At 45.7% G+C, this 27,993-nt stretch overlaps 1 protein-coding gene and 1 long non-coding RNA gene across 9 annotated transcripts in view; one reads left to right on the top strand and one right to left on the bottom strand.

Moving 5' to 3' along the window:
- The window catches only part of TMC5 (transmembrane channel like 5), an 88,575-nt gene that overhangs the window by 49,377 nt on the left and 11,205 nt on the right, over positions 1-27,993 (top strand). For 4 of the 5 annotated variants that reach the window (NM_001105248.1, NM_001105249.1, NM_001261841.2 and 1 more), the window contains 12 exons: positions 320-419; positions 3,365-3,452; positions 3,861-4,109; positions 6,167-6,318; positions 9,766-9,910; positions 12,173-12,328; positions 14,210-14,361; positions 17,525-17,603; positions 19,516-19,613; positions 21,455-21,550; positions 27,030-27,105; positions 27,278-27,411. In NM_001105248.1, coding sequence (NP_001098718.1) covers positions 320-419; positions 3,365-3,452; positions 3,861-4,109; positions 6,167-6,318; positions 9,766-9,910; positions 12,173-12,328; positions 14,210-14,361; positions 17,525-17,603; positions 19,516-19,613; positions 21,455-21,550; positions 27,030-27,105; positions 27,278-27,411 — 1,525 coding nt within the window. The remainder of the gene's footprint in view (positions 1-319; positions 420-3,364; positions 3,453-3,860; positions 4,110-6,166; positions 6,319-9,765; positions 9,911-12,172; positions 12,329-14,209; positions 14,362-17,524; positions 17,604-19,515; positions 19,614-21,454; positions 21,551-27,029; positions 27,106-27,277; positions 27,412-27,993) is intronic. The other variant, NM_001308161.1, reaches the window with a different exon arrangement.
- Positions 45-27,986, bottom strand: TMC5-AS1 (TMC5 antisense RNA 1). 4 transcript variants are annotated; one of them, XR_007065015.1, is made up of 4 exons: positions 27,909-27,986; positions 27,014-27,405; positions 17,443-17,872; positions 17,136-17,165 (listed from the first exon to the last, which is right to left on the bottom strand). It is a non-coding gene; the product is annotated as a TMC5 antisense RNA 1 (long non-coding RNA). The 4 variants fall into 4 exon arrangements; XR_007065016.1 differs by lacking the exons at positions 17,136-17,165; positions 17,443-17,872 and adding an exon at positions 45-274; XR_007065014.1 differs by lacking the exon at positions 17,443-17,872 and having other exon boundaries at positions 16,833-17,165.

Genomic DNA, 27,993 nt, shown 5'->3' on the forward strand with positions numbered 1-27,993 from the left:
TCAAAAAAAAAAAAAAAAAAAAATAGAAGAGGTAGGGTGACCAAACACGCAGGATCTTATTGACTTTGCTAAATGTTTTTTGTTACAGGAAAGAGAAAAACACTGAATTGGAATAAAGTGCAGCCATTATTCATTTGCTCTCACTTTGAGCTTTAACACATATATGTGTTTTTTTTGTTGTTTTCCTTTGTGATCTTTGAGATCCCCAACTCCATAAACTTCTTCCCTTGTGTTACGTGCTCTGACTTCAGCACCACATTTCAGTGTTACGATTCTGTTAAAGAAAAAAGAAATTAAATTCCATTAATTTCTTTCATAGGACAGAAGTTAATCGCATCCCTTATACCCATGACATCCAGAGACAGAATTAAAGCCATCAGGAACCAGCCAAGGACCATGGAAGAGAAAAGGAACCTTAGGTATGGACTAAAGGCTTTTCTTCTTTCTCAGATTTCATGCGAACCTCAATCCTCTACTTTTGCCCCATCTCAAAAAGATAAGAAATAAATAAGCACAATAGAAGAGACAAATATTCCTGACAGAAAAATTTCAAATGCCCTCTGTAGGTACTCCTTTCTCCAGGGGCTACAGCTTAATTCCTGCTCCTGGGCTGGAGTGTGGGCTCTGCTTGGTGAGCTGCTTTCCAAAGAGTAGGGCGTGGAAGGAAGAGAGGGGTGTAACTTTCCAGTGGAGAGTCTGCCTAATACTGCCTTGGCCAAGACTCAAGGTTAACATCCCCAAAGATAAGTCATGTGATGGGGGAAACATGTCTCCTCTGTGCTACTCTCTCCTAAAACCCACAACCCCAGTCTAAACAGCGAAAAACATTAGGCAAATCCCAACTGAAGGATATTCTACAAAATACTCAACCAGTACCCCTTGAAACTGTCAAAGTCATCAAAAACAAGGAAAGTCTGAGAAACTATCATGGAGTGGAAAGTTCTACAGAGACGTGACAGGCTGGGTGTGGTGGCTCACGCCTGTAATCCCAGCATTTTGGGAGGCCAAGGTGGTGGGATTAGTTGAGCTCAGGAGTTCGAGACCAGCATGGGCATCATAGTGAGACTCCATCTTTACAAAAAATGAAAATTAAAAAAGAGAGACATGACAAGTAAATGCAATGTGGTATCCTGGACGAGATCCTGGAATAGAAAATGGACATCGGTGGAAAAACTGGTAAAATCTGAATAGTCTGGAGTTTAGGTAATAGTAACGTACCAGTACTGGTATCTTAGTTTTGATAAACCTACCATGGAAATGTAAAATATTAACGGGGAAACTAGCGAGTGGTATATGGAAGTTTTCTTTACTGTCTTTGCAAGTTTACTGTAAATCTCAAACTATGATAAATAAAATCTTTACTTAAAAAATAAAGATCAGACTAGTGCAGTGGCTCATGCCTGTAATCCCAGCACTTTCGGAGGCTTAGGCGGGCAGATCATGAGGTCAGGAGTTTGAGACCAGCCTGGCCAACATGGTGAAACCTTGTCTCTACTAAAAATACAAAACTTAGCCGGGTGTGGTGGCATGCGCCTGTAATCCCAGCTACTGGGGAGGCTGAGACAGGAGAATCGCTTGAACCTGGAAGGCAGAGGTTTCAGTGAGCCAAGATCACACCACTGCACTCCAGCCTGGGTGACAGAGCAAGACTCTGTATCGGAAAAAAAAATAAACTAAAATAAAAAAGAAAAAATACATAAAGACCTTAGGAGTTTTATAAGCTCAGGAATTCAAAACCCGAGGGTAAGGGCTGTTTTAGCCTTCAGAGTTTACATTAATTGTTGCTTAATCTTTTTTTTTCTTTTTTTCAATTTGATATAGTTGGCAGAAAGTAGTAGAGTGGATGCAACAACAATTACTAGTAAGTGATTCATGGATGTAGGATTTTCTGAGGTTTCAAAGACAAATTTCAAATCCTGGCAGGGTGGAATAGATTTGTCAACAAGTAAATTACAAATGGCAGAAAGTAAATCAGGCCAAGTCAAAATAGAGATTGCAATGGGAGGACCAGAAAGGTCTGCCCTCCCTGACTTTGCTGGGGAAAAATGGAGAGAGGGGGCATTTGAGCTGGGCCTTGAAAGACAATTGACCATGACATTGGGATGGGCCTTCGAGGTGGACCAAAGAAAGCTAGGAAAGAACCAGAACAAAGCAGATGTGGTGAGTTCATGGAAGGGTAAGGAGACCAACTGTGACTGTGTCTTTCTGAAAACACTTCCATTTTGAACTCTGTATGGCTGCCTCTGTCACTGAATATGGGCTCCAAAGACCTTATAGCAAGATTTCTTAATATCAGTACAAGTAACATCTGAGGGCTGGATCTTTCTCTGTTGTGGGGGCTGTTTTGTTCATTGTAGGGTGTGTAGCAGCATCTCTGATCTCTATGTACTTGATGCCAATATCACCCCCTCTCCACTCCTTAGTTTCACAACCAGAAAAGTTTCCAGACATTGCCAATTGTGTGGGGGCAAAATCCCCCTAGGTTGAGAATGTGTATTAGTCTGCTCTCACTCTGCTAATAAAGACATACTTGAGACTGGGTGATTTATAAAGGAAAGAGGTTTAATGGACTCACTGTTCCACACAGCAGGGGAGGCCTCACAATCACGACAGAGGACGAAGGAAGAGCAAAGGCACATCTTACGTGGTGGTAGGCAAGACGGCATGTGCAGGGGAACTGCCCTTTATAAAACCATCAGATCGGCTGGGTGTGGTGGCTCATGCCTGTAATCCCAGCACTTTGGGAGGCCAAGGCAGGTGGATCACCTGAGGTCAGGAGTTCAAGACCAGCCTGGCCAACATGGTGGAAACCCCATCTCTACTAAAAATACAAAACTTAGCTGGGCATGGTGGGCGCCTGTAATCCCAGCTACTCGGGAGGCTGAGGCAGGAGAATCGCTTGAACCTGGGAGGCAGAGGCTGCAGTGAGCCGCCATCAGGCCACTGCACTCCAGCCTGGGTGACAGAGTGAGACGCCATCTCAAAAAAAAAAAAAAAAGAAAAAGGAAGAAAGAAATGAGGTCTCGTTCAGTTGCCCAGGCTGGACTGCAATGGTGTGATCATAGCTCACTGCAGTCTCAAACTTTTGGGCCCAAGTAATCCCCCCACCACAGCCTCTGGAGTAGCTGGGACTATACAGGCAGGCACTACCAACACACCCAGCTATTTTTTGTTAATTTTTTTCTTAATAGAGACAAGGTCCCACTATTTTGCTCAGGCTGGTCTTGAACTCCTGGCCTCAGTGATCCTCTTGCCTCAGCTTCCGAAGTGTTGGGATTACAGGCATGAGCCACCATGTAACTATTTTTTGAATGAATGAGTTGCAACATTTGTATCTCTCATTTTCTCTTGCTGTTCCCTACAGGAAAATAGTTGACAAAGAAAAAAGCAAACAGACCCATCGTATCCTTCAGCTCAATTGCTGTATTCAGTGTCTGAACTCCATTTCCCGGGTAAGTCAGTAAAACAGGCACAGCAAGAGGGTGAAAACAGGGAGGGAGGAGAGTGAGGATGAAAGGGGACTCAGGGGGAAGATGAACCAAAAATCAGAGCAATTTCATTGCCCAGAGCCAACGGTTAGTACAGGTGTGGAAAAGCGAGGTGGGCATGGGGAAGAACTAAGAGGTTGCTGAGTTCATTGGCCAACTTGGCCATTGTGAGTGGCACCTTCAACAGCAAACCTGGGAAGGTCATAATAGCTCCACCTTAGAGTTGACATAACATTTGTAAACATGCCTAGCATGGTGCCTGCACTTAACAATACTCCAGACATGGTGGCTGTTTCTGTTATTATGGCACCTGCTCAGTCGATATTTGTTGAGTCAACAGCAAGCCACACCTGCTTTGAATCCTGATTCCAGGCTTATCGGAGATCCAAGAACAGCCTGTCGGAAATTCTGAATTCCATCAGCCTGTGGCAGAAGACGCTGAAGATCATTGGAGGCAAGTTTGGAACCAGCGTCCTCTCCTATTTCAACTTTCTGAGATGGCTTTTGAAGTTCAACATTTTCTCATTCATCCTGAACTTCAGCTTCATCATAATCCCTCAGTTTACCGTGGCCAAAAAGAACACCCTCCAGTTCACTGGGCTGGAGTTTTTCACTGGGGTGGTAAGTCCTCCACTTCCCCTACCCCAAGTGCACCAATCACCTCGGAAACCCAGGGACGTGCCTTGCCGGTCACCCACTCACACCTCTCATTTTGCCTGGGGGTCAACTGATGGGGAAAGTGGATGTTTGAAATGTTTTCCTGGCTGAGTGTGGTGACTCATGCCTGTAATCCCAGCAAGCTGGGAGGCCAAAGCAGTGGAGACCAGCCTGGGCAACATGGCAAAACCCCGTCTCTACAAAAATGCAAAAATTAGCAGGGCATGGTGGCACACACCTGTAATTCTGGCTACTCAGGAGGCTAAGGTAAGAGGATTGCTTGAGCCCAGGAGGCAGAGATTGCAGTGAAGCAAGATTCCCCCACTGCACTCCAGCCTGGGCAACAGAGCGAGGCCTTGTCTCAATCATCAATCAATCAATCAATAAAGTGTTTTCCTGCAAAGTAACATACACACATCGTAGTAGAATTTCTGTCTCCAGAGGCAACCATCTTGAACAGTTTGTTTTTATCCACACACTTTTTTGGCAAACATATGGACACTTCTGTGCACGTACAGAGGCATTCTTTTCTTTTCTTACAAAAGATGAATTATTCATTGTATATTATCTACAACTTGCTTTTTTTTTACTTAGCAATATGTGGTGGGCATTTTCTTGTGTTGGTGTTTATAGATCTATGTTTTCTTTCTTTTTAATTTTTATTTCTACAAAATACAATGTTCCTTTTGAAAAATTCCTACTATAGAAGAAAACTAAGAGAAAGTTCATTTTATATTTTTTTCTTTGTCCAACTCCCCATTTTGAGATATATCTTTGTAGACTGTTTTTTTCTTCCTGTACAAACGTTGATAGATACATACTTGATAAAAAAAAAACCAAATAGATGACAGGCACATAGATTATTATGCTTTTAAAAATAAACAGAGGATAGGATTGTACTATAAGCCCTTCTTTCTTTCTTTTCTTTTCCTTTCCTTTTGTCTTTCTTTCTTTCTTTCTTTCTTTCTTTCTTTCTTTCTTTCTTTCTTTCTTTCTTTTCCTTCCTTCCTTCCTTCCTTCCTTCCTTCCTTCCTTCCTTCCTTCCTTCCTTCCTCCCTCCCTCCCTCCCTCCCTTCCTGGACCCCAAAATGTCTTTCATAACTTGCTTATTCAGACTAGGATTCAGTCAACAATCAGATTTTACATTCTGTGTCCGCCCCCGCCTTAAATCTCTATTAATCTAAAATAATCAGCCGGGTACGGTGGCTCACTCCTGTAATCCCAGCACTTTGGGAGGCCGAGGCGGGTGGATCACTTGAAGTCAGAAGTTGGAGACCAGCCTGGCCAACATGGCAAAACCCCATCTCTACTTAAAATACAAAAATTAGCCGGATGTGGTGGCAGAAGCCTGTAATCCCCACTACTAGGCAAGCTGAGGCAGGGAGAATTGCTTGAACCCGGGAGGTTGCAGTGAGCTGAGATCTTGCCATTGCACTCCAGCCTGAGTGACAGAGCGAGACTCCATCTCAAAAAAATAAATAAATAAATAAATAATCTCCCCAGCCCAGCCCCTTTTTTCTTGACATTGGCTTATTGCAGAAATTGGGCCTACTGCTATGTAGATTCCAACATCCTACCTTCTGGAATTGTCTGATGATTTCCTAGTGGTTTCTAGAATTTGTTTCTCTGGCTTCTTATTTCCTGTGCACTGAAATGTAGGCCTATAGGCTTGATTCGTTTCCTATTAAGCATGTTTAGCCATAATACTGGTGACAGAGGCACATAATACTGGTGAAACGAGAGGCCTGGCTGTCGTGTTCTTGCTGATGTTTCACTTGATCACTGGGCCAGGTGGTAACAGCTCAATGTCTCCATTGTAAAGTTACACTGGATTTCTTTTCAAGTCTGAGAGCCCAGTGACACAATGTCCAAATTCTCAGTGCCCCTTTCCTGGAAAACAAAATGTCTAAACTGACTGGCCCAGGCTTCTTGTATTCAGGAGAGGTCAACTCTCATGACCATAATCGTTTACCTTTTTTTTCAGGAGATCCACCTGACCTATGGTTTATTGTACCTTTCAGGGTTATTTTAGGGACACAGTGATGTACTATGGCTTTTACACCAATTCCACCATCCAGCACGGGAACAGCGGGGCATCCTACAACATGCAGCTGGCCTACATCTTCACAATCGGAGCATGCTTGACCACCTGCTTCTTCAGTTTGCTGTTCAGGTATGGAAGCATCTACATTTCCTGATTCTGAGGGTCATGTTAGATTTCAGCAAAAATCCAAGAAATTCAAAAATTACCCAGGTAACAGTTTCTCTGCAGTCCTCTCCTCTCCTCTCCTCTCTTTTCTTTTCTTTCTTAGATAGAGTCTCGCTCTGTCACCCATGCTGGAGTACAGTGGCGCAATCTGGGCTCACTGCAACCTCCACCTCCCAGGTTCAAGTGATTCTCCTTCCTCAGCCTCCCGAGTAGCTAGGATTACAGGCACCTGCCACCACGCCCCGCTAATGTTTGTATTTTTAATAGAGATGGGGTTTGACCATGTTGGCCAGGCTGGTCTCAAACTCCTGACCTCAGGTGGTCCACCCGCCTCGGCCTCCCATAGTCCTGGGATTACAGGCGTGAGCCACCGTGCCCAGCCTGCAGTTTTGACTTTCCATTGCTGTCCAATTATTCCTTGTCCTGCAATATAAAAATAGGAGTTTGGACAGAGGAAGAGAGGTTTTTCTGTGCTTTTAAAGAAATTGGTCAGCCTGATAATAAGGGTGCAGTTACCCCAGCAATGATATGAAGGGAAGAACATGATAGATAACTATCAGAGAGGAGGTACAAATGGAAAATACACATATGAAAGGCTGGGCACGGTGCTCATGCCTGTAATCTTAGCACTCTGGGAGTCTGATGCAGGCTGATCACTTGAGTCCAGGAGTTCGAGACTGGACTGGGCAACATACCAAAACCCCATCTCTACTAAAAATACAAAAAATTAGCCTGGCTTGGTGGCGCACGCCTGTGTTCCCAGCTATTCGGGAGGCTGAGGTGGGAGAATCACCTGAGCCCATTAGGTCGAGGCTGCAGTGAGCTGAGATCAGTCTACTACACTCCAGCCTGAGCAACTGGAGATCCTGTTTCAAAAAAAAAAGAGAGAGAAAGAAAGAAAAGCAACATGCAATCTCTGTATTAGTTTGCTAGGGCTGCCTAGCAAAGTACAGCAGACCATTGGTTTAAACAACAGAAATTTATTTTCTCATGGTTCTGGAGGCCTGAAGTCCAAGATCAAGGTGTCAGCAGGCTTGGTTTCCTCTGAGGCCTCTCTCCTTGGCTTGTAGACGGCCACTGTCTCCTGCCTGTGTCTTCACATGGTTATCCCTCTGTGTCTTAATCTCCCTTTTTTATAAAGATGCCATTTGTACTGAATTGGGACACAATTTAATGACCCCATTTTAAAAAAATGTAATTACCACTTTAATTAATTAATTAATTTATTTTGAGATGGAGTCTCACTCTGTTGCCCAGGCTGGAGTGCAGTGGTGTGATCTCAGCTCACTGCAACCTCTGTCCCCCAGGTTCAAGGGATTCTCCTGCCTCAGCCTCCCTAGTAGCTGGGACTATAGGTATGTGCCACCACGTCCGACTAATTTTTGTAATTTTATTAGAAACGGGGTTTCACCATGTTGGCCAGACTGGTCTCAAACTCCTGACCTTAAGTGATCCACCCGCCTCAGCCTCCCAAAGTGCTGGGATTACAGGCGTGAGCCACTGCGCCCGGCCTGTAATTACCACTTTAAAGACCCTACCTCCAAATACAGTCACATTCTAAGGTACTAGGGGGTTAGGACTTCAACATACGAATTTTGGGAAGTACACAGTCCAACCCATAGCAACCTGACTGCCAGCATACTAATTCAAACTAAAGTGAGATTTTGTTTTGTTCTGTCAAAGTAGGAAATGATTTTATTATTATTATTATTATTAATATTTTGAGACAGAGTCTTGCTCTGTCACCCAGGCTGGAGTGCAGTGGTGTGATCTTGGCTCACTGCAACCTCCGCTTCTCGGGTTCAAGTGATTCTCCTGTCTCAGCCTCCTGAGTAGCTGGGATTACAGGCTCATGCCAACACACCCAGCTAATTTTTCTATTTTTAGTAGAGACAGGGTTTCACCATGTTGGCCAGGCTGGTCTTGAACTCCTGACCTCAGGTAATCCCCCCTGCTGGGCCTCCCAAAGTTCTGGGATTATAGGTGTTAGCCATCATGCCCGGCCAGAAATGATTCTAAAGTTGCTGTTACTGAGTGGTGGCAAATTTCAGAACAGCAGCATCCGTCCATCTTGTGCAGCATTTTTGTGTGTGTGCTCAGGGCTTCCTGGGCCTGAGACAGCCCATGACCATAACAGTGCCTTCATCAAGTGCTTGCTGCTGTAAGCACTGCATAGACTCTTTGGAAGGCTGAATAATCTCCCCCGACCCCCCCCAGAGAAGTCTACATCCTAATCCCCAGAACTGGTGAATATGTAACTTCGCATAACAAAAGGGACTTTGCAGATGTGACTGAGGATTTTTAAATGGGGAGATTATCCTGGATTATCCCAGTGGGCCCAATGGAATCACAAGGGTCTTTATAAGAGGCAGGCAGGAGGTCAGAGAGTAGCAGGGAGATGGGAAGATGCTACCCTGCTGGCTTTGAAGTTGGAGGAGGTGGCCACAAGCCAAGGAAAGAGGACACCCTCTAGAAGCTGGAAAAGACAAGGAAATGGATTCTTCCCTAGAGCTTCCAGAAGGAACATAGCCCTGCCAACACCTTCATTTTAGCTCTGTGGACTCATTTTCTGATTAGCTGGGTGTGGTGGCATGTGCCTGTAGTTCCAGCTACTTTGGAGGCTGTGGCGTGAGGATGGCTTGAGCCCAGGAGGTGGAGGCTGCAGTGAGCTATGACTACACCACTGCACTCTAGCCTGGGCCACACAGCAAGACCTCATCCCTAAACAAACAGAAAACACAAAAACAAGAAAAGACATTTTCTGACTTCTGATCTCTAGAAGGGTAAAAGAACAAATTTGTGTTGTTTTTAGCCGCTAAGTTGGTGGTCATTTGCTATAGCAGCAACAGGGAACTGGGTGGATTACTTGAGGTCAGGAGTTCAAGACCAGCCTAGCCAACATGGTGAAACCCTGCCTCTACTAAAAATACAAAAATTGGCCGGGCGTGGTGATGGGCACCTGTAATCCCTGTTACTTGGGAGACTGAGGCAGGAGAATCGCTTGAACCTTGGAGGTGGAGGTTGCAGTGAGCAGAGATCACACCACTGCACTCCAGCCTGGGAGACAAGAGTGAAACTCTGTCTAAAAAAAAAAAAAAAAATTCTGTGAGGTGAGTTTTATTGTTATTCCCTCTCTACAGATATGGAAACTGAGGCTGAGAATCAGAACCATTCACAAGACAAAAATCCCCCAGTTGGCAGATCCAGGGTTGCAAGCCAGGCCTGTGCAGCCCCAAAACCAGTGCTTGTTTAACCACTGTGTGGTGACCACACCGCTCCAGGCCAACAGCTTGGGGCTAAGTCTTCACGTTGCCTTTCACCATTAATAATAGGGCTGCCCTTTGTTGAAGCCCTGCACTCCCAGTGACGGCCATAATAACCTTCAGGTGTTCTGCTTTCTGCCTTCTCTAGCATGGCCAAGTATTTCCGGAACAACTTCATTAATCCCCACATTTACTCCGGAGGGATCACCAAGCTGATCTTTTGCTGGGACTTCACTGTCACTCATGAAAAAGCTGTGAAGCTAAAACAGAAGAATCTTAGCACTGAGATAAGGGTAAGGCGAGCTCACTTTACTCATTTGCCATCGGCTGGTCTCCTTCCCTTCTCCAGTATACCTGTAACTTTTCTTTTTTTTTTTTTTGAATTGGAGTCTCACTCTGTCGCCCAGGCTGGAGTGCAGTGGCGCAATCCCGGCTCACTGCAGGCTCCGCCTCCCGGGTTCACGCCATTCTCCTGCCTCAGCCTCCCGAGTAGCTGGGACTACAGGCGCCTGCCACCATGCCCGGCTAATTTTTTGTATTTTTAGTAGAGACGGGGTTTCACTGTGTTAGCCAGGATGGTCTCAATCTCCTGACCTCGTGATCCACCCACCTCAGCCTCCCAAAGTGCTGGGATTACAGGCGTAAGCCACCGCGCCCAGCTGTTTTTTTTTTTTTTAACGGAATCTCACTCCGCCGCCCAGGCTGGAGTGCAGTGGCATGATCTTGGCTCACTGCAACCTCTGCCTCCCGGGTTCAGGCGATTCTGCTACATCAGCCTCCCAAGTAGCTGGGATTACAGGCACCTGCCACCTCACTTGGCTAATTTTTGAATTTTTTAGAGATGAGGTTTCACTATATTGGCCAGGCTGGTCTCAAACTCCTAGCCTCAAGTGATCCACCCGCCTTGGCCTCCCAAAGTACTGGGATTACAGGCGTGAGCCAGCCAAGGCAATGATTTTCAACCCAGAGAAATCTGGCCCCTCAGGGGGACATTTGACAACCTCTAGAGACTTTTTTGATTGTTACAATTGGGAAGAGGGGTGCTCTTGGTATCTAGTGGGTAAGAGGCCAGTGATGCTGCTAAAAATCCTACAATGCGTAGAACAGCACCTGCAGCAGAGAATTATGCAGCCCACCATGTCAATAGTGCAGAGGTTGAGAAACCCTGGTCTATAGACACAAACTTATTAAAAAAAAAAAAAAAAAAAAAAAAAAAAGCAGCTGGGCATGGTGGCTCATGCCTCTAATCCCAGCAATTTGGGAGGACGAGGCAGGCATATCATGAGGTCAGGAGTTCACGACCAGCTTGGCCAACATGATGAAACCCCATCTCTACTAAAAAAAGGACAAAAAAGTAGCCGGGCGTGGTGGCGGGCACCTGTAATCCCAGCTACTCAGGAGGCTGAGGCTGGAGAATCGCTTGAACCCAGGAGGCAGAGGTTGCAGTGAGCCAAGATCGCGCCACTGCACTCCAGCCTGGGCAACAAGAGTGAAACTCCATCTCCAGAAAAAAACAAAGAGCAAGCTGATTTTATAAATAAAGGGGCTTTAAATTTTTTTTTTTTATGATTTTCGAGACAAGGTCTTGCTCTGTCACCCAAGCTGGAGTGCAGTGGTGCAATCATAATTCACTGCAGTGTCGACCTCCTGGGATCCAGTTAGCCTCTCCCACCTCAGCCTGCTGAGTAGTGGGGACTATGGGTGCACACCACCATGCCCAACTAATTTTTAAATTTTTTGTAGAGAGAGAATCTCACTATGTTGCCCAGGCTGGTCTTGAACTCCTGGGCTCAAGTGATCCTCCCACCTCGGCCTCCCAACATGCTGGAAATTCAGGTGTGAGCCACCAAACCCAGCCAAATAAAGGGGCTTCAACAAGAGGGTTGCAGATGTGAGCTTCTTTCTCAGTGTAGATACCCAACCTTATTCTTCAAGAAAGAATTTTGTGACCTCAGTGTGCTTTTCTTAAGAACATGGTCCCGATCTATTAATTCCAACTGTTTCTGAAAGATGGAAGCAGTGTTTGGAGATTCTTGGCCCATTTCAGAGTCCTCTATGGGTCTCCCATAATCCATGTTCATCATGAATGTTCCCCCTCTCTCTCACCTGTGGATTTGGGCTGGATTCATGTCTCTGGATGTGGCAAGCATTCCCTGGGGATCTTTGCTAGCAGTGGAGAGGGATCTCTGGATAAACTTGACTTTCATTTATTTTTATTTATTTGTTTATTTATTTATTTGTTGTTTGAGACAGAGTCTCACTCTGTCGCCCAGGCTGGAGTGCAGTGGTGCCATCTCTCCTCACTACAACCTCCACCTCCTGGGTTCAAGTGATTCTCCTGCCTCAGCCTCCCGAGTAGCTGGGATTACAGGCATGCACCACCACGCCCGGCTAATTTTTGTATTTTTGGTAGAGGCGGGGTTTCACCATGTTGTCCAGGCTGGTCTCAAACTCCTGACCTCAAGTGATCCACCCGCCTTGGCCTCCCAAAGTGCTGGGATTACAGGCGTGAGCCACCATGCCCAGCCATAAACTTGACTTTCTTATGTTTCTAGGAGAACCTGTCAGAGCTCCGTCAGGAGAATTCCAAGTTGACGTTCAATCAGCTGCTGACCCGCTTCTCTGCCTACATGGTAGCCTGGGTTGTCTCTACAGGAGTGGCCATAGCCTGCTGTGCAGCCGTTTATTACCTGGCTGAGTACAACTTAGAGGTAACCAACACCAGGGTCCAGGGCAGAGAGAACCAGGTGAAGGGATGAGATGCTGGAGGGGAAGGGTGGTGTGCAGCCTACGGTTCAACCCAGGATCTATGGCCAGCAGCATCAGCACTAGCAGAGAACTTGTTAAAAATGCAGGGGTGAGGCACAGTGGCTTACACCTGTAATCCCAACACTCTGGGAGGCCGAGGCAGGAGGATCACCTGAAACCCAGGAGTTCGAGACCAGCCTGGGCAACATGGAGACTTCATCGCTAAAAAAATTTTAAAAATTAGCCTGTCACGGTGGTGTGCACCTGTAGTTCTGGCTACAGTGGTGGTCATTCATTGGTGACTACAGTTTCACATGAATGGAGCTCAGCTGTGTCGTTTCACAGCCCTGGGGCCAGGCCTTGCCTTGTTTGATCTCAGTTAATTCTTGCAACATCTCTATGAGTCATGTGATCATCTCTCCATTGTACAGATGGAGAAAAGGGGCTCAGAGAAGCTAAGGATCTGGCCCCAGGCCTTGCAGCTTACGTGTGGGGAGGGAGCCGCATTGGAACCCAGGTTACCCTGGCTCCAAAACTACCACCAAAAATGCAAGTGGTGCTTTTGAACCATCCAGAGGTAGACGGAGGTAGGGTGAGGCCATGCAGGGAGGATATGGGAATGTGAGATATCAGATAAATTCATTGGAATCCCTGACTCCAAGGCCCATGGAAGGATGCCTAGCAGAAGTGCAGTCCCGGCTCCACTCCCAGCCAAATGCCAGAGTGCTGCCTCCTCCTGGAGGCCCAGTGCCTCTCCCAGCCTCACACAAAAGTGCAGCACAGGGCCAGGCACAGTGGCTCACGCCTGTAATCCCAGCACTTTGGGAGGCCGAGGCAGGCAGATCACTTGAGATCAGGAGTTTGAGACTAGCCTGGCCAACATGGTGAAACCCCGTCTCTACTAAAAATACAAAAATTAGCTGGGTATGATGGTGCACCCCTGTAATCCCAGCTACTCGGGAGGCTAAGGCAGGAGAATCACTTGAACCTCGGAGGCAGAGGTTGCAGTGAGCCGAGATCGTGCCACTGCACTCCAGCCTGGGCAACAGAGCGAGACTCCGGCTCAAAAAAAAAAAAAAAAAAAAAAAAAAAAAAAAAAAACCAGCAGCACGGGCTAGCAGAGACACGCCAACCCCCTAATTCAGAACTCAGAGAGAGGTGAAGCCTGGTGAAAATGAACAAGGCCACTTATGCTAAACAGGAGGGAGCACATCCTCATTGCCCTGGGCATCTTGGTAAAAAAGGGAAAGCCACAGAATGATTGTTCGAGCTCAGGCTCCTGAGTCAGACACACCTAGGCTCCAATCTGCCACTTCCTTGCTGGGTGACCCTGGGCAAGTGTCTTCCCCTCCCTGAGCCTCAGTTTGCTTGGCACGGGGTAAGGAAATTAATGGTAGCTTAACAAAATAGTTAACCTAGCCGGGCGCGATGGCTCATGCCTGTAATCCCAACACCTTGGGAGGCCGAGGTGGATGGATCACCTGAGGTCGGGAGTTAGAGACCAGCCTGGCCAACATGGGGAAACCCCATCTCTACTAAAAATACAAAAATTAGCTGGGTATGTTGGTGCGTGCCTGTAATCCCAGCTACTCTGGAGGCTGAGGCAGGAGAACCACTTGAACCGAGGAAGTGGAAGTTTCAGTGAGCTGAGATCGCGCCACTGCAGTCCAGCCTGGGCAACACGGTGAGACTCCATCTCAAAAAAATTAAAATAAATAAATAGATAAATAGTTAACCGCAGAGGAGCTACTTCTCGGGTTTTCTATCATGGGAGACTTTTGAGTGAAGCAGAAAGGGGTACAGTGTACAAGTCAGCCCTCCGTTCTCTCCCCCATCCCCTGCAGTTCCTGAAGACACACAGTAACCCTGGGGCGGTGCTGTTACTGCCTTTCGTTGTGTCCTGCATTAATCTGGCCGTGCCATGCATCTACTCCATGTTCAGGCTTGTGGAGAGGTACGAGATGCCACGGCACGAAGTCTACGTTCTCCTGATCCGGTAGGTGATGTGTCGCGCCCAACACCAGCCTCTATTTCCACAGAGAGAAGTGGGATGGCAGCTAGAAAGGATTATGCTTTAGTATCAAAGTTTTTTCTCCAGAGAGGAAGAATTTCAAAAGTAAGGTGTGGCTGGGCGTGGTGGCTCATGTCAGTAATCCCAGCACTTTGGGAGGTTGAGTGGGGAGGATCACTTGAGACCAGGAGTTCGAGAACAGCCTGGGCAACATAGCCGGATGCTGGCTCTACAAAAAGCTGGATGCAGTGGCATGCACCTGTTAGTGCCAGCTACTCAGGAGGCTGAGGTGAGAGGATCACTTGATCCCAGGAGTTTGAGCTTACCTATGATTGCACCACTGCACTCCAGCCTGCGTGACAGAGCAAGACCCTGTCTTAAACAACAACAAAAGAGTGAAGTGTGTTTGTGTGGTGTGGGCTTTTGCTCAAAGTCATGGCTTGATTGCTTTCCTAATTGCTACCAGCAGGGGATTGATGTAGTTCTCAAGTATGGGATGTACAGATGGGCAGGCAGTGCACGCACAAAGGCTCCTGGGCTGAGGACGGGACTGAAATCATCCAGCGTTCCCCTTAGTCAAGCTGTGAGTCCTGGTACCCACTGCCTCAGGCGGGAGGAAGGGCCCATTTTTGTAATTCCACCACCCAAACAAAGGTGGGAGGAGTGCTTTGGGCAACTCACTGGCACCCATGGGGTGCCTTTTTGTGATTCCCACAAAGGCATCATACGTGCTAGAAGTGATCCCAGAGTTTTGATACACAAAGCCTGGAACTGCCCAAATTTTGTCCCTCTAGTTTCTTCCCTTACTCGTTCCTGGTTATGGTGGGGTTTATAAGTACAGGTCTGTAGGCCGGGCATGGTGGCTCATGCCTGTAATCCCAGCACTTTGGGAGGCCAAGGCAGGTGGATCACCTGAGGTCAGGAGTTTGAAACCAGCCTGGCCAACATGGTGAAACCCCGTCTTTACTAAAAATACAAAAATTAGCTGGGCTTGGTGACGCATGTCTGTAATCCCAGCTACTTGAGAGGCTGAGGCGGGAGAATTTCTTGAACCTGGGAGGCGGAGGTTGCAGCGAACCGAGATCCTGCCACTGCACTCCAGCCTGGGTGACAGAGAGAGACTCCATCTCAGAAAAAAAAAAAAAGTGTAGGTCTGTACAATGCAGACTGAGTTTCTTTGCTGATCAGTTCCAGAGCCCTTGCCTTACCACGGTCTGTGAGATCCGGCTCCCGGCCAGCGCTCCAGCCTCATTTTCTCCCCATCCTTCCTGCTCACTGCCTGTCCCCGTCACAGACCTCCTAAGCGTTCACAAATATGCCAAACCATATTCCCACCTCTGGACCTTTGCATGGGCCTGGAATGTTCTTCCCACACATGACCACATGGCTTGCTTCTTGACTGCATTTTGCGTTCTTCAAACATCACCCTCGTGTTGCACTCTTCCTTGCACACCCCATTAAAAATAACAGCTCCCTACCACCTTTTCTCCTCTGCAGTATAATTTTCTTTCTTTTTTTTTTTTTTTTTTTTGAGATGGAGTCTCATTCTGTCGCCCAGGCTGGAGTGCGGTGGCATGATCTCTGCAGTATAATTTTCTTACCACTTCCTGACATATTTGTATTTATTTATTATCTTCCTCTCCCACAGTTTATGGGGAAATCTTTGCCTTGTTCACAGTGTCTGGGATATCATAGGTGTCCAAGAATGATTGGTGAATGAATAAGCAAATTGGTCAGTCAGTTGATTATATCCAATTCATATTATGAAAATTCCAGCCAGGTGCAGTGGCTCGTGCCTGTAATCCTAGCACTTTGGGTGGCCAAGGTGGGAGGATTGCTTGAGCCCAGGAGTTCAAGACCAGCCTTGGCAACATGGTGAGACTCCATTTCTATAAATATTTAAAAATTAGTCAGGCATGGTGGATTGCACCTGTAGTCCCAGCTACTCAGGTGGCTGAGGTGGGAGAAGTGCTTGAGCCCGGGAGGTCAAGGCTGCAGTGAGCCATGACCACACCACTGCACTCCAGTTTGGGTAACAGAGTGAGACCCTGTCGGAAGAAAGAAAGAGAGAAAGAGAGAGAGAGAAAGAAAGAAAGAAAACTCTGACTATATTCCTATGCCCTCATTATTCCCCACATCCCAGCCACCGATCCATGGTGCCACTTTTAAAAGTTTGTATAGAAGGGGAAATGTTAGGTCTCACTGCACCCCATAACCTTGCATATTGAGTATGATGGGCATAAAATACCATCTACTAGATGATGGAATTGTAAAGACTGAGGGGGATGATTCAATAAAGAGGTTGGCAGTGTACGCTGGGTCAGCACCCAATAAACATTATGTACATTTACTATCATTATAATGGGAAGTGAAATCAGATCATTTGGAGATGCAACAAAAGAGAATGTATCAGTCAGAATAAGTTAGGTTATACTGCAGTAACAACCCCCCAGATCTCAGTGGCTTCGAACACAAAGGTTTATTTCTTGCTCGTGTTATATACACAGTGTGGATTAGCAGGAGGGACCTTCTTATGTTAGTTACTGAGGGATCCAGGCTCAGAGAGAAGCAGCCATCTTGAATATCGTTGATCGCCATTCCAAAGGGAAGATGAGGAGTTCTGGAGAGTCTCACAGGGGCATTAAGTGCTCCAGCTTAGAAGTGACACACATTAGCTGGGTGTGGTGGCTCACGCCTGTAATCCCAGCACTTTGGGAGGCCGAGGCGGGTGGATCACGAGGTCAGGAGATCGAGACCATCCTGGCTAACATGGTGAAATCCCGTCTCTACTAAAAATACAAAAAAAATTAGCCAGGTGTGGTGGCGGGCGCCTGTAGTCCCAGCTACTCGGGAAGCTGAGGCAGGAGAATGGCGTGAACCTGGGAGGCGGATCTTGCAGTGAGCTGAGATCGCGCCACTGCACTCCAGCCTGGGTGACTGAGCAAGACTCCGTCTCAAAAAATAAAAAAAAAAGAAGTGACACACATTGCTTCTGTTCACAATTCATTCACTGGAACTAGCCATGTGCCCCCCTCCAACCACAGGGGCCAGGAATTTCTATCTTACCATGTGCCCCAAAGGAGCTATTTGCAGACAGAATGAAAGACTGCCATTGAAGGTAATCATAAATGTTGTCTCTTCTGTTTAGAAACATCTTTTTGAAAATATCAATCATTGGCATTCTTTGTTACTATTGGCTCAACACCGTGGCCCTGTCTGGTGAAGAGGTGAGATTCTATGCTTCTCTGCCTTAAGTTTGGTTTCTTAGCATTTGACCAACAGGGAGGACAGGGGTTTCTCAAGAGCCATCACACTCCGTATTTGGTATTAATCCCTTGTGGGAAGAGAATGAAAACTAATCTGGAAAGCAACATAAGGCAAAATGGGTCTCAACAAAAAAGCTCAGGTTCTAGAGTCAGGAGGACCTGATTTGAAGGCCAGCTGTGCTGTGTCATCTTCCGAGTCACTTAATCTCTTTGAGCCTCAGTTTTCTCATCTGTAAAATTGGGATTAAATGATATCATGTGTAGTATAAGTTCAGTGCCCAGCATATGCAATAGACACTAGTAATTTTAGTGCTAGTCTGTCCTAACAGCTTTGGGGTTGGACAAAATTCTTTTTGATCCTTGATGTTCTATTTTTCCTGTAACCTAGATACCCTGGGCTTTACCAATATGTAAACTCATAAATGCTGGCAGTAACAATTATGTCCTAATGCTGACTGTTTCTGGCCGTCCTTCACTTAACTACAGTTTCTAGTCTTCACTGACCTCAGAGAATGGGTGCCTGAGGGTGGTGTCCCATGTGGATTTAGGAACAAGCCAGCCTCCCTGGCCTTCTCATTGGGATGCCTCTGCCCCTGCTACTGCATCCCCCATGAGAATGTGCCTTCACATCACACAGCAATCCTTAGCTGATGGTCATTGTGAGCTCTCAGATACCCAGGATGCCCTGGGGTTGGAAGTAGAGTCAGGAATCAGGAGTCTCTCTCTATTTCTCTGTCACCCATTATTCCTGGGCCCTAAAATAGCTCTGTTGTGTCTATACTCAAACCATCTTACATGAACATGGCACCCTCAACTTCTCTCCCTAATTGTCGAAGAGATTCAAAATCAGCCCTCCAAGTTAGTATGGTTAGAGCAGATACCATATTCTTCTTCCATGCATTCATCCATTCATGCATCCATCCATCCATTCCCCCATCATTCATTTATCCATCCATGCATCTATTCATCTGTCCATCCATGTATCCATCTATCCATTCATTCATACATCCATCCACTTATCCATTTATCCATCCATGTATGGATCCATCCATCCATCCATATATTTATCTATTCATTCATGTATTCATCCATCCATTTATCTAACCATCCATCCATTTATTCATCCACGTATTCATTCATGCATGCATCCATCTATCTGTCAATTCATGTATTCATCCAGCCATCTATTCATCCATCCATTCATCCATCCATCTATATACCCATCTATCCACTCATCCATCATCCATCCATTTACCCATCCATCATCCATCCATCCTTGGGCTGTGCACCCAAAAGTTTCCTCTCCTCCTTCAGCCAAATCTAAAAGCTCCCAGTCTATCAGCTGATAGCACTGACTTCCTGCAGAAGTTCCTAGCCACTAGTTTCATAAACTGACTAATTTGAGCTTCCAGTTTACACTAGCCTACTAAACCTCTAGGCCACTTTCTTAATCAAGCAGACATTAATTGATTTTTTGTAAGGTAAATAAGCAAAAAGAGTGAAGGCATTCTTAGCCATTGGCACTTCTGGCTCTGTTGAAGAAACCGATTACCCTTGGCTGAGAAATGGGATCCAGAGGGGATAGGGCAGGGAAGAAAAGTTTTACGGGGAGAGATCATGAACAGGGAAAGTTTGGGTATGTGTGGAAGGCAAGCTTTAATGGGGGAAAGAAGGAAACCCAAAAGAGAACAACATCCCTGGGAACAAACTCAGCTGCATTTTTTCAGAGTGGGTCTACTTTTTTGAGTACACAAGGACTTGGTCAAACCCAACCATTAGCTATGTCCTGATGGGTACATAGAGCCAGGAACAGAGGAGAATTGAGCTGAGGCCACAGCCCCTTCCCACATCCTGACTCTTGTTTGCCTTCCAGTGTTGGGAAACCCTCATTGGCCAGGACATCTACCGGCTCCTTCTGATGGATTTTGTGTTCTCTTTAGTCAATTCCTTCCTGGGGGAGTTTCTGAGGAGGTAAATATTTGCCATTCTTAAGTAATTAGGGCCTGATGCTGTAAACAGAACCTGATTCCTGGCTGAGTGGGACATACAGGTGCCTGACATACTCAAAGCGTGCGTTGTTCCAAGTCTGCCTGTTGTCCTTGGGGATACTGTTCACTTCTAAATTAGCTAAAATTTCACCTTAACCTGACAGTTCTGTTGTCATAGTTCACTCGGTTCAGTTGACCTTTTACAACCTTTTGAAAACAAATTCTAAAAATAAAAGACAGAAACTGAGCCATTTGAAATCTTATCCAGCCGAGGGCAGTGGCTCACGCCTGTAATCCCAACACTTTGGGAGACCGAGGCAGGAGGATCACTTGAGGCCAGGAGTTTGAGACTAGCCTGGGCAAAATAGGAAGACTCTGTCTCTATCCAAAAAAAAAAAAAAAGAAGAAGAAGAAGAAAAAGGCAAAGAAAGAAAAGAAGAAAAAAAGAAATCTTATCCACTGTAGATAATTTCAATATTCTAGTATATATTCCTCCAGATTTTTCTATGCACACATTGCTCTGTGTGTGTCTTTACTATATAATGCTATATAATTTTCAAAAGCAAAAATGGAGTCACACTGCAACATATTGTAGAATTTGCTTTTACTAATCTGTCACTATGCCTTGACATCTTTCCATGTCAGTACATGTAGATTTATCTCATTGTTTTAATTGAATTAATGTATTAATTTTATATTAGATATCTATCTATCTATCTATACAGAATTGAGGCACTGTCACTGTCCCATGTCTGGTTTTTTAAATTTAGTAATTCATTTTTTTAATAATATGATGAGCCTCTCATTCCTTATAGACATTTATGTATTTCCGCAAGCTGCTCTAGTAATAAGATGGTCTGATGTTGATTATTTTCTCAGTGGATAGATTCAATGCCAAATTTCCTCATTCATTTTTGCCAAAATGTGCTTTTATTCTAGCCTCTGTCGAGGGCCTGGACATAAAGGTGAAAAGGTTTGGCCGGGCACAGTGACTCATACCTGTAATCCCAACACTTTGGGAGGCCAAGGCGGGTGAATCACCTGAGGTCAGGAGTTCAAGAGCAGCCTGGCCAACGTGGTGAAACCCTGTCTCTACTAAAAATACAAAAATTAGCCGAGCATGGTGGTGTGTGCCTATAATCCCAACTACTTGGGAGGCTGAGGCAGGAGAATCGCTTGAACCCGGGAGATGGAGGTTGCAGTGAGCCGAGAGGGCGACATTGCCCTCCACCCTGGGTGACACAGCGAGACTCCATCTCAAAAAAAAAAAAAAAAAAAAAGTGAAAAGATTTTTTTTTGACAGATCTTTTTTTTTAAATTGGCAACTCATCTTTATGAATAAATTAATATGAAATCAAGTTTCCCCAGAGTAAATGGAAACTTGGTTTCCTTCTTGTGGATTTAGAACACAGGGAAACATAATTTGATAGCAGCAACCAAAAATTTAAAAATGTTTATTTGAGTTGAGAGGTGCTGAGTTCATCTGGTTCATGAAAAAATAAGGTTTAATTAGCAAAGAGGGGTATAAGATAATAGTGGGATAATTTAAATGTTCAGGGTAACAAATATTCTCTAGAATTTTTTAAATCACTTTAGCAGTACCCCCACTAGACTGCATTGTGTTAAATTAGTTTTCCCTCAATCCCTTCAATTACTTCTTCAAAAACATGCTTATAGATTTAGAACTTTTGAAAAATTTTCAAGGGAACTTACGACTTTATTTCAAGCTGGGGAGGGTCTCTTTTGTTGATTGTCCTAGTCTGTGGGGGATCTTCTGAAAGTGGGAGTTATGGTTTGGGTACTAAACTCAGTATGTTTTCACAGAATCATTGGGATGCAACTGATCACAAGTCTTGGCCTTCAGGAGTTTGACATTGCCAGGAACGTTCTAGAACTGATCTATGCACAAACTCTGGTGTGGTAAGTTTTGTGACTCAGCAAAATGCCCAGTGGTTCCCACATGACTGTGGAGCTGGTGTTTTGGTGGCAAAGTCCCAGAATCTGTTGTTTTTAAAGCTGCAGGGGTGATAACCCATCCAGCCAGTCTGAGAACCATGAATTTAGCATTTAGACTATCATTTTCCTTTATGAGAGCTTAAGGACTTCAGACAAGAATCAGCATAGAGCAGGGATCGCAACCTGGAAGCCCACAGGTCGTGTCCAGCTTTGCAGGTGTGTTTCTTTTGTCCCTAAAAATATGAATTAACCACTGCTATGGTCTCAATGTTTGGGTCTCCCCTCAAATTCATATGTTGAAACCTTACTTCCAATGTGATGGAGGTGGGGTCTTTGGGAGGTGATTTGATCTTTGACATGGCCCTTAGGAATAGGATTAGTGCCCTTATAAACAAGGCCTGAGAGACCCCTTGCCCCTTCTACCACGTGGGGACATGGAGAGAAGGCAACATCTGGGAATCACTAAGCAGGGCCTCACCAGACACTGAATCTACCAGCACCTTGATCTTGGACTTCCCAACCTCCAGAACCATAAGAAATAAATTTCTGCTGTTTTATTTATTTATTTTTATTTTTTAGACGGAGTCTCCCTCTGTCGCCCAGGCTGGAGTGCAGTGGTGTGATTTCGGCTCACTGCAACCTCCGCCTCCTAGGTTCAAGTGATTCTCCTGCCTGTCTCCCAAGTAGCTGGGACTATAGGCATGTGCCACCATGCCCAGCCAATTTTTGTATTTTTAGTAGAGATGGGGTTTCATCATGTTGGCCAGGCTGGTCTTGAACTCCTGACCTCAGGTGATCCGCCCACCTTGGTGGATCCCAAAGTGTTGGGATTACAAGCATGAGCCACCACACCCAGCCTCTGCTATTTATAAGCCACCCAGTTTATGGAGTTATAGTTATAGCAGCCTGATGGACTAACACACCACCTATATTTAAACTTCAGGAGATTTCACATAACACCTAAATTTCTGGCTTCTCTCCAGAAACATCTGGCTTCTCTCCACAAAGATCTGTGGCAAACTGAGCATCTCCAGTTTGTCACAATCTCCACCTTTAACTGTTGTCTGTTAGCATTGATTTGCCATTTTGCTTTGTCCTTAGGTTGTTTCAATGCAAACTTTACTTTGCATCCATGTCTCCACAGCAATGGGAGAATAAAGAAACACACAGAGAGGGCTGTGTGTTTCTTATATTTGATACACCATTTGGTGGGTTCTCTATAGTTTTTTGGATTTGTGACGTCTGTTTTAGAAACTCTGCGTGCATTGAGAATAGCCAACTGGTTGCAGCAAATATTTTTACAAACTCACCTAGACACTGCAAACAATTAGCCAGTGGCTGTGTTTCCTTATTTATTTATTTATTTATTTATTTTTAATTTTCTTATTATTTTTTTGAGACAGAGTCTTGCTCTGTTGCTGAGGCTGAAGTGCAGTGGTGCAACCTCCACCTCCCGGGTTCAAGCAATTCTCATGCCTCAGCCTCCCAAGTAGCTGGGACTACAGGCATGTGCCACCACACCTGGCTAATTTTTGTATTAGTAGAGACAGGGTTTCACTATGTTGGCCAGACTGGTTTTGAGCTCCTGGCTTCAAGTGACCCACCTGCCTCAGCCTCCCAAAGTGCTGGGATTATAGGTGTGAGTCACCATGCTCAGCCTATTTATTTATTTTTGAGACAGGGTCTCACTCTGTTGCTCAGGCTGGAGTGCAGTGGCATGATCATGGCTCACTGCAGCCTCAACCTCCTGAGCTCAGGCAATCTTCCTGCCTTACTTTTCCTTACTTATTTTAACATGATGCAGTTAATGCCGGAACTCTGTGTGGTGAATCACATTCCCAGGTTCCATCTGATGGGGTGTTGCTAATTTGAAAGTATTGGATTTGGAACTGGATAAACTGAATTCTGAGGCTGGCTCTGCCACTCATGGAGATCACTGTGCTTGTCTGAACCTCAGATTCATCTGTAAATGCACATAAGAATAGCTACCTTTAAGGCCAGGTGCGGTGGCTCATGCCTATAATCCCAGCACTTTGGGAGGCTGAGGTGGGTGGATCACCTAAGGTCAGGAGTTGGAGACCAGCCTGACAAACATGGTGAAACCCCATCTCTACTAAAAATACAAAATTAGCCAGGCGTGGTGGTGCATGCCTGTAATCCCAGCTACTCAGGAGGCTGACACACAAGAATTGCTTGAACCTGGGAGGCAGAGGTTGCAGTGAGCCAAGATCATGCCATGGTACTCCAGCCTGGGCAGCGAGAGTGAAACTCTGTCTCAAAAAGAAAAGAAAAGAAAAGAAAAGGCCAGGCACGGTGGCTCACGCCTGTAATCCCAGCACTTTAGGAGGCCGGATCACCTGAGGCCAGGAGTTCGAGGCCAACCTGGCCAACATGGCAAAAACCCATCTCTACTAAAAATACACACAAAAAATTAGCTGGGCGTGGTTGGAAGTGCCTGTAATCCCAGCTACTTGGGAGGCTGAGGCAGGAGAATCACTTGAACCCGGGAGGTGGAGGCTGCAGTGAACAGAGATCACGCCATTGCACTCCAGCCTGGGCGACAAGAGTGAAACTCTGTCTCAAAAAAAAAAAAAAAAAGAATAGCTGCCTTTGAATCATGTTGAGGATTAAATGCCATGGTAAATGAAAACGCTTTGCAAACACCAATATGTCATACAACGGGAAAGTTTTATTTTCTGACTCTTTAAAGTTGCCCTGGGTGATTTGGCTGTCTGCAAATAACTCAAAGTTAATGAGTTTATTTTTTAGAGACAGTGAGGACCTTTCTTTTGTAGTTTAGGTGATGTGTTTGCATGCTGCTAGATCACCCACTGGCAATTTGGCAGTTTACAAAGTCCTTTCTTCCACATTATTTCAACTAGGATGCCATTGGGCAAGTTACTTAAACTCTCTCCAAACCTTAGTTTTCTAATCTTTAAATGGTACAGATACCTACTCACAGGGTTTTCGAGGGGATTAAATAGGCATGGTGGCTCACGCCTGTAACCCCAGGACTTTGGGAGGCTGAGGCAGGCAGATCACTTGAGGTCAGGAGTTCAAGACCAGCCTGGCCAACATGGTGAAACCCTGACTCTACTAAAAAATACAAATTAGCCGGCTGTGGTAGCAGATGCCTGTAATCTCAGCTACTTGGGAAGCTGAGGCAGGAGAATCACTTGAACCAGGGAGGCGGAGGTTGTAGTGAGCCGAGATCATGCCACTGGCTGCACTCCAGCCTGGAGATAGAACGACACTCCGTCTCAAAAAGGAAAAAAAAAAAAAAAAGAAATTACCATTATGACTTCTGGGCCTTTGAGATTTTTGTTGATAAATCATGAATAAGCACCATCAAAAACACATCTTTTTTTTTTTTCTCCATGGTTATTTCAGTTCTAACCTTTGCGGGTTTTAGGAGAATATTGCCTTTGATGATGAGTTTTACAAGAAGATAATATAATGACAGAAAAGGATATATGTTAGGGACAGTAGTAGAGATGAAGTGAGGAACATGTTTCCCAAGTTTTAGTCTATTGTACACTAGCCTGCCTATTTTTTGGTATAGTGACGTTTCACCTGTACCATTATCTACTTAATTTTTTTTATTATTTGCCTTTTTTTTTTTTTTTTTACTCAAATAAGTTTTTTTTTAATGCCATGGTAGATGATAACTGCTTTTCATCAGCCTCCCAAAGTGCTGGGATAACAGGAGTGAGCCACCATGTCCATTTATTCTTCTCAAAAAACCCTGTGAGTAGGTACTAGTACGTCCACCATTTAAAGATTAGAAAACTAAGGTTTAGAGAGAGTTTAAGTAACTTGCCCAACGGCATCCTAGTTGAAATAATGCAGAAGAAAGGCCTTTGTAAATGGCCAGACTGCTTTTCCCAACATCGGCAATCTTCCTGGGGTCAGTAAGACCCTAGATGTCAAAACGTCAGGTGCCTGCCACCACGCCCAGCTAATTTTTGTATTTTTAGTAGAGATGGGGGTTTTGCCATGTTGGCCAGGCTGGTTTCGAACTCCTAACCTCAGGTGATCTGCCCGCTTCGGCCTCCAAAAGTGATGAGATTACAGGCATGAGCCACCACGCCTGGCCTCTCACATATATTTTTAAGGGAGTCTTTATTTACAATCATAAATGGAAAACCAGTGCCATTTGAAAGAAATCACAAATAACTGGAAAAATAAAAGCAATCCCATTCCAAAAAGTCATTAAATTCTAGCGAGATGTTACAGTTTGCTAAGGCTCTCAGCCCGAAGCCTACTCCTTTCTTGTTAAAAAATGGGAGAATGGCATTCTAGAACCACACTGAGATTTTCTCCTTTTGTTGCTCACGAGCACCGCGGGAGAGTTGTAAAGGGAATGCCTTTCTCATTTGGAACTCAGTGCTATTCAGTGCCTTGTCCCTACAGGACCTCAGACCTTGAATACCATGGGGGAGGAAGAAGGAGAGGGGCAAGGCATGTGGGACATGCTAGCTTAGGGCATGCTGAATACCATCTGTTGGTTTAATAGGTGGGTGGGAGATTTCTCTATAAAATCTCTTTTCCAGAGCTGGGAAGAAGGCAGCTGAGGATACTGGGTATGGTGGGAATCTGCCTAATTTGCTGGGATGGAAGCAGGCCCCCTCTGTGTTCGTTTGCTGGGGCTGCCATAACAAAGTCTCACACACTGAGTGCCTTAAACAACATCAATTTCATATCTTACAGTTCTGGAGGCCAGAAGGCCAAGATCAAGGTGCGGGTGGGGTTGGTTTCTTCTGAGGGTCATAAGGGAGGGATCTGTCTCAAGCCTCTCTCCCTGGTTTATAGACGGCCATCTTCTCCCCATGTCTTTACATGGTCTTCATTTCTGTGTGTGTCTATGTCCTAATCTCTTCTTTTTTTGTTGTTGAGATGGAGTCTTGCTCTGTCACCCAGGCTGGAGTGCAATGGCACAATCTCGGCTCACTGCAACCTCCGCCTCCCAGGTTCAAGCGATTCTCCTGCCTCAGCCTCTCAAGTAGCTAAGATTACAAGCATACGCCATCATGCCTGGCTAATTTTTGTATTTTTTGTAGAGATGGGGTTTCACCATGTTGCCCAGGCTGGTCTTGAACTCCTGACCTCAGGTGATTCACCCCCTCTTGGCCTCCCAAAGTTCTGGGATTACAGGCATAAGCCACCGTTCCTGGCCTCCTAATCTCTTCTTTTAGGGACACCGGTTGTACTGGATTAGGGCCTCCTACAGTGATCTCATTCTACCTTAATCACCTCTCAAAGGCCCTGTCTCCAAATACAGTCACATTCTGAGATATTCGGGGTTAAGGCCTCAATATATGGATTTTGGGGACACACAATCCAGGCCACAATATCTTCTTTCTCTTCCCCCCAACCATCCCAGATTCACCCCGACTCCTTGTGTCTCCGCCAGCCTCTGACACTCACCCTCTCTCCCTCACAGGATTGGCATCTTCTTCTGCCCCCTGCTGCCCTTTATCCAAATGATTATGCTTTTCATCATGTTCTACTCCAAAAATGTGAGTCAGTCCGACATTGCCATCAATCAGCTTTGTTCAGTCACCTGTGACCTGGTGGCGCTTAAAGCTGGGGAAGGGGGCTCTGCAAAGGTGTCAGGAAGCCAGGCCTGGCTGGGGTCCCTCTGCCGCTGCTCCGGCTGCAGATGGGAGGTGGCTGCCTCTCTCTCTTCAGATCAGCCTGATGATGAATTTCCAGCCTCCGAGCAAAGCCTGGCGGGCCTCACAGATGATGACTTTCTTCATCTTCTTGCTCTTTTTCCCATCCTTCACCGGGGTCTTGTGCACCCTGGCCATCACCATCTGGAGGTAGGAGAAGGTGGCCTTGGGGGAGGTTTTAGAGACTGGGTGGATGGGTGTGTGTTTTAAAACGTAGGTTTTATTATAATTCAGGTGTGGTGAGGCCGGGTGCAGTGGCTCACGCCTGTGATCCCGGCACTATGGGAGGCCAAGGCGGGTGGATCACTTGAGGCCAGGAGTTCAGGACCAGCCTGGCCAACATGGTGAAACCCTGTCTCTACTAAAAATACAAAAATTAGCCAAGTGTGGTGGTGCATGCCTGTAATCCCAGCTGCTCTTGAGGCTGAGGCAGGAGAATCACTTGAACCCGGGAGGTGGAGGTTGCAGTGAGCCAAGATTGCACCATTGCGCTCCAGCCTGGGTGACAGAGTGAGACTCTGTCTCAATAAATAAATAAATAAATAAATAAATAAATAAATAAATAAATAAATAAATAAATAATGTAGGTATGGTGAAGCCCAACAGGTCAGGAATGACCATCACTAAAAAGATAGTTTATTACTCACAGTTCCTGAGAAGAGGGGGCACTCTATGCCACAAGGGACCACACAGGGAAGCATCAGGGTTGTTCAGGAGGCAGAGGGAGTGAGG

This window comes from Homo sapiens, chromosome 16 (genome assembly GCF_000001405.40).
Source record: "Homo sapiens chromosome 16, GRCh38.p14 Primary Assembly".
In the NCBI taxonomy this organism is placed as follows: Eukaryota; Metazoa; Chordata; class Mammalia; order Primates; family Hominidae; genus Homo; species Homo sapiens.